Source organism: Homo sapiens, chromosome 20 (genome assembly GCF_000001405.40).
Source record: "Homo sapiens chromosome 20, GRCh38.p14 Primary Assembly".
In the NCBI taxonomy this organism is placed as follows: Eukaryota; Metazoa; Chordata; class Mammalia; order Primates; family Hominidae; genus Homo; species Homo sapiens.
The window spans coordinates 48,088,129-48,099,639 of record NC_000020.11 but is presented as its reverse complement, the minus strand read 5'-3'; the positions used below and the strand labels follow the sequence as shown (position 1 = coordinate 48,099,639).

General features: G+C 47.6%; 3 annotated features.

Moving 5' to 3' along the window:
* Positions 5,008-5,177: an enhancer, noted in NCBI's record as "experimental_60566 CRE fragment used in MPRA reporter constructs". NCBI's record gives its function as "activates a minimal promoter by MPRAs in K562 erythroleukemia cells, with activity observed for both the introgressed and non-introgressed 20:46723291 variant alleles {active_cell/tissue: K562}" and the evidence as "EXISTENCE:reporter gene assay evidence [ECO:0000049][PMID:34662402]".
* Positions 6,408-6,916: an enhancer, noted in NCBI's record as "H3K4me1 hESC enhancer chr20:46721467-46721975 (GRCh37/hg19 assembly coordinates)". NCBI's record gives its function as "activates a minimal SCP1, AML or CMV promoter by ChIP-STARR-seq in primed H9 embryonic stem cells {active_cell/tissue: H9 hESC(primed)}" and the evidence as "EXISTENCE:reporter gene assay evidence [ECO:0000049][PMID:30033119]".
* Positions 6,917-7,425: an enhancer, noted in NCBI's record as "H3K4me1 hESC enhancer chr20:46720958-46721466 (GRCh37/hg19 assembly coordinates)". NCBI's record gives its function as "activates a minimal SCP1, AML or CMV promoter by ChIP-STARR-seq in primed H9 embryonic stem cells {active_cell/tissue: H9 hESC(primed)}" and the evidence as "EXISTENCE:reporter gene assay evidence [ECO:0000049][PMID:30033119]".

Genomic DNA, 11,511 nt, shown 5'->3' with positions numbered 1-11,511 from the left:
GGGCTGAGATCCGTGGTCTATTCACCTTTTAACCCCAGGATCCTGGCATAAGTGCTGACCCACCCCTGGCACTCAGTGATGGCTGATTGTGGATTGCCACATTGGCTTGAGTTACAGCTTCAAGACGGTCTGCTCCATTAGAGAAATAAGAAGGAAAGAAATGTTGTTCTGTGCCCCTGACCGTCCTTTTAGGCAAGGATGTTCTCCATATATTCACTCAGTGAGGTTTTATGACACCTCAATAAGCCAGCCAGGGATCTGGATGGGGTAGAGGCCACAGGACAGGCCTGTCCTCATTAGCTCTGACAACTACAGGGTTTATATTTTTCAAGCCACTGCAGGATTTAAGGCTCGGTGGTAAAACGGAAGTGCAGAAGGGGAGAGAGTTCCCAGCCTGGGAGGGAAGGGAGGGAGTTCTAAGCCTGGCTCGATTGTTTATCAGCAGTGGGACCTAGGCAAGTTGATTAAACATCCCTCCGTCTCAGTTTCATGCTTTGTAAAATGAAGAAGAAAATCATCACGCCTACCTTAGGGGTGAGGGTTAAAGGATATGACACATAGGAATGCCAAGAACCACTCCTAATGCGCAGTAAGCATGCTGTGTAGCTCTTAGGATCATAAGATTTTTCTTAGGAGATTGTGCAAAGCTGTTCCTGCCTCTGGGATTTTGCCCCTGCTGTTCCCTCACTGTGAAAGTCTTCCCATGCAGCTTCTTCTCCACTTGCAGATTTTAGCTCTGATGCCAGCTCCTCTGACCACTCAACATAAACTAGCCTTTCCCACCAGCGGGCCTGCTTGCTTTCTTCAGAGGACTCACCACTCTCAGAAAAATATCATCTTTTTTTGTTTGTTTGTTTTTAACTTATTGATTGTCTGTTTTCCCACACAGGAACTGTCAGCACCAGGAGGTAATGCTGTTGACCAGGTTGTTTCACCTCCTTATCCTCAGAGCAGGAACAGTGGCAGACAGGCTCACCTTGCCTACCTGCTGAATGGGTGGGCAGAGCTTAGACTCCATTCTTTCCCACCCTAGGTCCCAGGATTCTGTCTCCGTGTTTTGACTTCATTCTTCTGAAGGGCACTGGTGTATTTGAGGGGAATTCTCTGGATTCTTCCTCCAATCTGGAAGAGCTGGTCTATAAGTTAGGCTGCTGCTGCAAAGACCCAAAGCAACAGTGACCTCAACATAGGTGGTAGGGCAGCTCCACTCTACAATGGGGTCAGGCAGGCACCGGGCTCCCTCTGTCTTGTGGTTGCCGTCCCTAGGGTGTGCCCCTCTTCCACATGGCCCATGACAGCTCCCTGACATGTCTGGGTTCCAACCACATGAAAGGGAGAGCTGCCATCCTTGCCCTTTGAGGACTCCAGAAGGGAGTCACATTCACCACTTCTGCTCAGTCTCATTGGCCAGAGCCTGGTCACATGGCCACACCCAGCCCTGAGAAGGCTGGGAAATGTAGTCTTCACTCTGTGCAGCTGTACACCCAGCTAGAATTCAGGAGTGCTATTATTATGAGAAAAGTGAATAATGGAAGACATTCCTAGTTTCCAACCCATCTACCCTCACCTTCTTCCTTGGGCCCTGTAAAATGGATGTGCTTGTGAGAAGAAAGAGGAGATAGTGAATGAGCCCAGGAGAGGGTCCTGAGGAATCCGTTCCCACTTTGAAGTTGTGGGAGGGTTTGAGCTGCCTCCTTGTATCTTTCCTCTGCCCCCTCTTGCTCTCACCCACTCTAGTCGTGCTTAAGGATTGTATCTGAGTTTCTCCTGCTGATGGGGTCAAAGTACAATTGGTCTCCCCATCAAGCTGCTGATGCCCTGGTGTCCCTCAGTCGTGGCTGCCTGGTCTTGCTTTTCATGCCCAGTGCACAGAGAGGCTGGCTTTGTCTGGCTCAGAAATGCACTGGGCCAGGTGTTTCACACTCAGTCCCACTGGGTCACACCACTTGGCATGGACCCTGAGAAGCTCTCAGCTGCCAGTACTGGCAGCTCTGCCAAATGCCAGCCTCCTGGCCAGAGAGAGAGGACAGTGCCACCACTCAGTCTCCTTCGGGCAGCAAGTGGGCTGCTTGTCAGTGAGGGTGTGGGCATGCGGTCATCTCACTAGGGTGTCCGAGGATAGCCTCTCCGGGCAATGCCAGGTCTGCAGAAGGATCAGGCCAAAGGTGCCCTGTGGCCCGTCATTCCTTGGAAGCTACAGAGAACAGGTTTTCTACTGTCTGTTGGCTTCTGCCTCATTCTTATGTCTGAGCCCAGGAACCTGGTGCTGCCTTGTCCAGTGGGTCTTATGGGGAAGGAGCACTGGCATGGCCTTCCAGGTTTTGTCTGCCTCGCATGCATTCTGCAGCTTATGGTAGCAGCAGTTGTCTTCCCTCTGGAGAACCACCTCTTCTCCCTGTAGTTAGTGTGGGGCTGACCCCACCCTTGGCTCCAGGAGTGGACATGTGACCTCAGCCTGGCCAATCAGAGTTATCCATTCTGCTGGGCAAAGTTTTGAATGGAAGATGGTCACATGACCATGCCCGGCCAATGAGGGAGGTTAGCCAGCACTCAGCGCTCTGAGGATCTGGTCTCGCTTCCTTTTTTTTTCCTTTTTCTTTTTTTTTTTTGGAGACAGTTTCACTTGTTGCCCAGGGTGGAGTGCAGTGGCATGATCTTGGCTCACTGCAACCTCCACCTCACAGGTTCAAGTGATTCTCCTGCCACAGCCTCCCAAGTAGCTGGGGTTACAGGCACCCACCACTGCACCTGGCTCATTTTTTTGTGTGTTTTTAGTAGAGATGGGATTTCACCATGTTGGCCAGGCTGGTCTCTACCTCCTGACCTCAGGTCATCTGCCCGCCTCGGCCTCCCAGGGCTCTCTTTCATACTTCTGAAATTGCTGGGCTGTAAGATGTAGCCTGGAGCTTCTTGTGACCGTCTCTGCCATCATGAGGGGAAAACCTGCCTACAAATTAAGCGAAAACAGTGGAAGAAAAGCAGAGGGATGGAATGAGAGGCAGATTCCTGAATGCAGCTGTGCCCAAAGCCTGTGTTATCCCTTGATGACTCAGTCACATGAGCCAATGAATTCCTTTTTGGCTTGCAGCAATTTGAGGTAGGTTTCTGTCTCCCGAAACGAAAAGATTTCTTGCCTATGGTCTTCTTCCTGAATCCACAGAGCAGGCCTCGATGGACAAGGCCTCGGCCCACGCCAGGCACTGGGAGGGAGGCTGGGCTTCCTATCACTATGGAAGTGTCCTGCCAGCCCTAGGTTCAACCTGGCTGGGTCTCGAGCCCCTGCCTGTGAGGCCTCACCTGCCCTTTCAACAGGGCTTCGCCCGCAGCCCTGGCCCAGCTTCCTTTCCCTCAGCCCTGGTCAGCCCCTTCTGGCTGTGTTTCTCACTCTCTTTTCTCCCTTTTCCTCAGCTTTGTCTTTTTGAAGCTGAGACCCCTTTAGCCAACCCCTGAAATAATCCCATAGTTGCCAAAGACCACTATTGTGTTAATAATAGTTAATAAAATAAAATATTATTTTATATTGTGGTAAAACAATACACTTAAAAATTAACCATTTTAACAATTTTTTTTTTAAGGTGGAGTCTCGCTCTGTAGCCCAGACTGGAGTGCAATGGTGCGATCTCAGCTCACTGCAACCACCCCCTCCCGGGTTCAAGCGATTCTCCTGCCTCAGCCTCCTGAGTAGCTGGGATTACAGGCACACGCCACCACGCCCAGCTAATTTTTGTATTTTTAGTAGAGACAGGGTTTCACCACGTTGGTCAGGCTGGTCTCGAACTCTTGACCTCGTGATCCACCCTCCTCGGCCTCTCAAAGTGCTGGGATTACAGGTGTGAGCCACCGCACCCAGCCCATTTCCACAATTTTTAAGTGGACAGTTTGGTGGCATTAAGCACATTCCCATTGTTGTGCAACCACCACCACTCATGCACAGAATCCTTTTCATCTTGCAAAATTGCAACTCCGTACTCATTAAACACTAACTCCCCATTCTCCCTTCTCCCCACCCCTGGCAACCACCCTCTCCTTCCTGTCTCTATGAATTTTCCTATCCAGGTACTACGTATGTGTGGAATCATCAGCACAGCTGGTCCCAACTCACAGGATTTTTCAACTTTACAATGGTGTGAAAGTGACACGTATGCAGCAGAACCCCACTTCGAGTTCCCATACAACCATTCTGTTTTTCACTTTCAGTACAATATTCAATAAATCACATAAGATAGTCAACATTTTATTATAAAATAGACTTTGTGTTAGATGATTTTACCCAAAATTAGGCTAATGTAAGTGTTCCGAATAAGGTAGGCTGGGCTAAGCTATGATGTTCTGCAACTTAGGTGTATCAAATGCGTTTTTGGCCTATGACATTTTCAATGTATGATGGGTTTACCAGGACGTAAATCCATTGTAAGTTGAGGAGCGTCTACATTTGTTCCTTCATAACTGATTTCTTTTCTTTAGCATTATGTCATCAAGGCTCATCCATGTCATAGCATGGGTCAGAATTTCCTCTTTTTTTGAGACTGAATAATGGTTCATTGTACGTATATACCACATTTTCTGTATTCGTTTGTCATGAGTGGCACAAGGTCAGACATAACCAGGTCAATGCACGTTTGTATCTTTCCACAAGGTCAGACTTTTATTGATCCTATTTCAACCATAAAAGCCAGAAATTACATGGAGTTTCCAAGGAGACAATTCTTCTTAGTACCCCAACCCTCCGTTCACTTGGTCATCAAAGCCATGGGCACACACATTCAAGACGATCCGCAAATCAGTGAATATTACAAGCCATACATAGTAGTATACTTAATATATAAATGCTATAGGTTAAATATTCCACATCAAACAAAATAACATTTGACATCAAGAGAAAAGGGGATAGGAAAAATGGTTAACAAACCAGTCCAAGGAGAGTGACGTGGACAAGAAGAGTGTCCTGGCCTGATCTGGATGGGTATCAACATCTTGCAAAGAATAGTCTTTGATTTGGGCAGTCCTTCAGTGGCAGATCCTGGATGCTGATCACAAGGGACAGGAAGGCAGTGCCTATTAAGATGGCTATCTTAAGCTGGCGAAGCCCTGCTCTTTTTATAGCTCCAGGGTCCCCTGGTGATGATAGTAAAAGGGCATGTCCGGTTATGTTCTTATCTGATTGGGGGCTGTCTCTATTTATTAGGCAAATATCTGGTCCCTGTTGACATGACACTATTTGAAGTATAAGATGAAGTCTTTTCCTAACATGGAGTCACTTATGTCAAGGGCGCTGTCTACCTGGTTCATCTTTCAATAGACTCTTGTGTTACTTATACCTTTTGTATATTGTAAATAATACTGTTTTGAACATAGGTGTACAAATCTCTCTTCAGGTCCCTGCTTTCAGTAATTTTGGGTACATACCCAGAAGTGGAATTCCTGGATCGTATGGTAATTCCATTTTTAATGTTTAGAGGATCTGCTATAGTGTTGTCCATTGCAGCTGCACCTTTTTACATCCTCACCAACAGGGCACCGGGTTCCAACTTCTCCTCATTGTCACCAACACTTATTATTTTCTGTTTTCTTGTTTCTTCCTTTTTTTTTTATTTATTATAGGAATCCTAATGGTTGTGAGGTGGTATCTCACTGTAGTTTTGATTTGCTTTTCTCTAATGGTTAGTGATGTTGAGCATCTTTTCTTGTATTTTATGGCCATTGGCACATCTTCACTGGAGAAATGTCTATTCATATCTTAGAGCCTTCTTTATTCATTTTATTCATTCTTTAGTTTATTCATCCATCAGTATTTCTCGAGCGCCTATGATGTGTCAGGTATTGCTCTATGTGCTACGCTACAACAATGACAAGACAAAACAAACAAACAAAAAACAACCAACCAAACAAAAAACAACCAAACAAAAAAGAGCTGCCAACCTTAATCTATTTATAACATAATTCTTGCCTTGGAGAGCTTGTCACGAGAACGAAATAAAGTGATGTCTGTAAACCTCCAGCAGAGGATGGGGCCTCAGTCAGCTCCTCCCTGCATCTCCTCCCCTCTCTTCCAGGATGTCCACACTCTCCCTCTGCTCTTCCTCCATCCCCTCTGCCACCTTCTCTCCCCACCTTTTCCTGGATTTTTCCTTTATTATGTGAATTTCAGTAGCTGGTGCATCTCAGAGCCAGGGCCACCATGCCTCCAGGGTCCTGGTGGGGGATTTCCGCCCCTGCTTCAGCTTTTCTTCTGAAATATCAGAACACATTTTCAAAACACCAAATGTTCATTGTTAACCCTTCCATGGAACCACTGTATGTCAAAGCCCAGATGGAACCTCTATGAAGAAAGCTGCCATTTTACAGTAACAGCCTTTGTCTGACACACGTATTAGGAATCATTGATATGGATAGGAAGCAAGAGATATGTTGAGGCTGGAAACAGAAGAGAACTCAAATATCTGCAAGGAAGATGGATGCAACGTGTGAATGGGAGCAATGGAGCATTGACCCTGAGTCATGAACAACTGGCTGAAATACAGGCGACCATCCATCAACTTCTGGAAACTTCTTCCAGTGGAGTGGGTCTCTCAGCAGTGGCCAAACAAGTCTTCTTGTGTCCTTAGGAAGAGGTGAATGGGGACCTGATAAATGGCTCCTTCTTCTCCAAGCTTCCCTTTGGGGCTCATTTCCATGTGTCCAGTGAGTGGACGGGCCTCAGAGGCTGCCAGGTTTCCCCTTTCTCTGGAGGGGTGCATTCCACACTGTCTGCTACTCCTGGACAGAGAAATTCGAGACGGGAGGGAAAACATGTGAGGCTGCCAGCCCTGGCCTCCTCCTCCATCAGGAGCTCCTCAGGCCCCTGTGTCCCAGCGCCAAGCAGCCCACACAGATGGGTTCTGTTCGCTTCTCTCCGGGCTCACAGGCCCCGGATATTGGATTCATCACCAGCTTTGATGGATGGTGATGGGAGCTGGGACTCTGCCAGCCGCAGATGACTTGGAGGTGTTCAGATGACAGACGACTCTGGGCCTGGGACAGGGCAGGCATGAGCCTCACAGTGCACCTTTCTACTGGAACAGAAGCATCCACAACGGTCCGAGCACAGCAGAAAAATGCATCCCTCTGTGAGGATGTCAGTGAGGGACTGTGGCTTCAGCATGTCCCCATCATACTTCTCTCCATGGCCACCTCCCAGCCTCCTTCTAACAACCTTGCTCCCCACCTGTCCCCCCACCCCCAATTCCCAATTTCCAGGGGCCCCGGCCTTTGTCCCTCCTCCTGGGCTGCCCATCCTTGGTATGAAAGTTTCCTGCCTTCTGCCCCATTGAAACTTCTCTGTTTTCTTACATCTTGTCAAAAAGACAGATGCTATCTCCTTAGAGCTTAACTAAACTGGTAAGCGAAGGTGCACCAAGTATTGAAAGATGCATGGCTGTGCAGTTGAGTAACTGGAATTCCTGTTCAGACATCATCCCTAATTAGCATGGAAGATTAGGAAGCCATTGTTTCCTAGGATGATAAGACATTGTTTGCACCCTACTGAGCATCTCTCATTGGCTTAACCAAAAGGATGGAAAGGAAGCCGAGAAGGAAACAAGAAAGATGGGAGCTTCATCAGTATATGGTCCACTGTCATTTTTTTTTTTTTTTTTTTTGAGACAGAGTGCTGGAGTAAAATGGTGCGATCTTGGCTCACTACAACCTCCGCCTCCGAGGTTCAAGCGATTCTTCTGCCTCAGCCTCCTGAGTAGCTGGGACTACAGGCACATGCCACCATGCCTGGCTAATTTTTGTATTTTTAATAGAGATAGGGTTTCATCACACTGGCCAGGCTGGTCTCAAACTCCTGACCTTGTGATCCTCCCTCCTCAGGCTCCCAAAGTGCTGGGAATACAGGTGTGTACCACCGCATCTGGCTGGCCCACTGTCATTTAATGCTTTCTATGGGATGTTCTGTGCTGGTGGTTGCAAAAGCATTTTGTAATTTGGTGGGACACAATCTCTGGGGAAGTGATGTTCTCTGGCTTGTCAGTGGAACAATTCTGTTTATTTTCTTTTCTTTTTGAGACAGGGTCTTGCTCTGTCACCCAGGCTGGAGTACAGAGGCATGATCTCGTCTCACTGCATGTAAGAAAACAGAGAAGAAAACAGATGTAAGAAAACAGAGAAGTTTCAATGGGGCAGTTTAGACCGCCCAGGTTTAAGCCATCCTCCCACCTCCAGACCAAGTAGCTGGAACCACAGGCTTGCACCACCACACCCAGCTACTTTTTTGTATTTTTTGTAGAGATGGGGTTTCTCCATGTTACCCAGGCTGGTCCTGAACTCCTGGACTCAAGCAATCCTCCCGCCTCAGCTTCCCAAAATGCCTGGATTACAGGCATGAGCCACCACACCTGGCCCAATTGTATTTCTGACACTAAATTCTGATGGTAGGAGGCAGAGTTTTAGCAAATCTCCAAATTCAGGTACCCACTTGAAGCTGGGAAATCCAGACCCCACCAGAATAATTGCAGCTGCTGTGTATTGAACATGTGCCATGGGCCAGGTCCTATGTCAGGCACGAGGTGCTCTAATATACATGTCCCACTGACCCTCATTATAACACTGCTGGGATTCAGATTTATCAGCCCATTTTTCAGATGAGAAACTTGAGGTTCGAGGGCTTGCCAAAGGCTGCACTGCAGGAAAGCGGCCTGGGCGGGTTGGAGCCTCACTGGACTCACATGACCCCAGGGTCTGTGTTCTCTCTGTGGCCCACGCTCCTTCCTGCTTTGTGCTGGACTCTCCGTGTAGTGAGAATGTGTGTTCCAAGTAAGCCCAGCTCGAGGCTTTGCTGTGTTTGTAAAGGGATTTTCTCTAAGGCTTACAGAGAACTATATTTTCTTAGAGGCCAGAATTGCCATATCTCCTGATGTATCATTTGACCACTCACATGCTCCATCTTCATCCCTCCTTGCCTTTCCGCCTTGTCCTCTTCTCTCCTGACTACCCAAATAAAAATATCCTTTATTACAAGAAGCAAAATCTCCAACCCAAAATGATTTAGAAACCTATGAAGAGAATTGCTGACTTTTGTCATTGAAAGCTGCAGCAGTAGGGCTAGCTTCAGGTGTAGCTTGATCAAGTTGTTCAATTGATGCCATCAGAATCTGGCATCTCTGTCTTAGCTCAGACAGACTTTCCTTTTGTGGCTGTAGCATTTTTCATCTCTTCTTAGGTTCAAGGCCTCTGGAAAAGAGTGATTATCTTTGTGCCAGCATTCATTTATTGATTCGTTGATTCAGCAGATATCTAGGGAGTGCTGCTTTGTTCCAGAATTTTTCTAGGTGCTGGGCATACAGGAGGCAAAACAGACAAAAATCCCTGCCCTCCTGGAGCTTTTGGTTCAGTTGGGGGGACTAACAATAAATGAATTGACAAACAAATATATCAAAGATGTTGTATTTGGTTGGTGAAAAGTAACTGCTGTTTTGCCATTGCTTTTAATGGCAAAAACCACAATTACTTTTGCACCAATCTAATATTTGTCTGTTTTCACACTGCTATAAAGAACTGCCCGAGGCTGGGTAATTTATAAAGAAAAGAGGCTTAATTGACTCACAGTTCAGTCTGGCTGAGGAAGCCTCAGGAAACTCACAATTATGGGGGAAGGGGAAGCAGACACCTTCTTCACAAGGCGGCAGGAGACAGTGTGAGCACGAGGAGTGAAGGGGGAAAAGCCCCTTATAAAACCATCAGCTCTCATGGGAACTGACTATCACAAGAACAGCATGAAGGAAACCGCCCCCATGATCCAATCACCTCCCGCCTGATTCTTTCCATGACACGTGGGGATTATGGGGATTACAATTCAAGATGAGATTTGAGTGGTGACACGGAGCCAAAGCATATCATATGTGATGTGCAGCAAAGAAAATTAATGCAAGGCAAAGATAAAGAAGGCAGAGGTGGCTATTTTAGAGTGATCTGGAAAGGCCTCTCAACAAGGTCGATTTTCAGAAGAGACCTACGTGAGATGAGCCCTGTGGATGCTGACGAGAAGAACATTTCAGGCAGGGGACCAGCACCTGTGAAGCCATAGAGGAGAGACCATGCTTGGCTCATAAGCCTGGAGGTGGGTGTGGCTGGGGTAGGAGGCCAAAGGGGAGGGTGCCAGGAGGGTGGAGAATTGGGCAGGAGGTCGACCTACATCGCAGACTCTGTAGGAGTCTGGTGTTTATTCTAGGTGTTGAGTGAGTAGCCAATGGAGGAGAAGAGCAAGTGAGAAACTCTCCTCTACACCTAAAGGGCCCTCTGGCAGCAGCGAGTACCCTGGCTCTTACCAGCTACATGGTCATTTCTGGCTCCACTCAGGACGTGAGACCCTGGTGGGTCTGAGCTGAACAGTGGGCAGAAGGGGTTCTCAGGAGAAACATCCATTACTGCCAGCAAATTGCAGGGCTCTGCTCCAGCAGCCCTGGTGTCCACTCTGGGGTCTCACCTCCATGGCCCTTCTTGAGGCTCCTCTCTTCCTTCATGTGGACCCAGCAGGTTCACACAGATGGGGCCACCACAGGCGACATAAGGCAGCCATGGCCTCTGTTCACACAACTATGTCTTCTTGTCATCTCTGCTAGATCAGGAATTGGCCAACCATCTCCTCAGGCTAAATCCAGCCCACTCAGCCCGTTTTTGTCCTGCCCCTGAACTAACAATGGTTTTTACAACACACACACACACACAAGAATATATGGCAGAGACAACACGTGGCCCTCAAAACCTAAAATATTGTCCGGGTGCAGTGGCTCACGCCTGTAATCCCAGCACTTTGGGAGGCCGAGGTGGACAGATCATGAGGTCAGGAGATTGAGACCACCCTGGCTAACACAGTGAAACCCTGTCTGTAATAAAAATACAAAAAAATTAGCCGGGTGTGGTGGCAGGTGCCTGTAGTCCCAGCTACTCGGGAGGCTGAGGCAGAAGAATGGCGAGAACCTGGGAGGCAGAGCTTGCAGTGAGCCAGGATCATGCCATTGCACTCCAGCCTGGGCGACAGAGTGAGATTCTGTCAAAAAAAAAAAAAAAAACAATTAAAATATTCACTATCCGGCCCTTTATAGAAAAAGCTTGCCAACCCCTGCCCTAGATTACAAACTATTTGGGGAGGACCCTTTTTTCTGCCCATCTTTGTGTCACCGACAGAATTGGTTCCAATGGCAACATCTGATTGTATCATGATACGATCAGCCTTCTGTGATCATCAGTAAATACATAGTATTTCAGAGAGTGCAGAAAGAATCCAGTTTTGCCAACAAGTCTTTTGTACAAAGGAGCCATAATAAATGGTTGGCCTTGAGACTTAGGTTGGACATCTGCCACTTGTCCCTTCTATTCCTCTGGATCACGGCACCCCCAATCCCAGCATCCATTCTACTTCTCTGGATCAGAACACCCTCCAACCCCTTTTTTGTTGAGCAATACCCACTACTCTCAGCATTTGAGTTTCCTGGGGCATCAGCCGAGGTTCCAAAAGGGAGTCGTAGACCC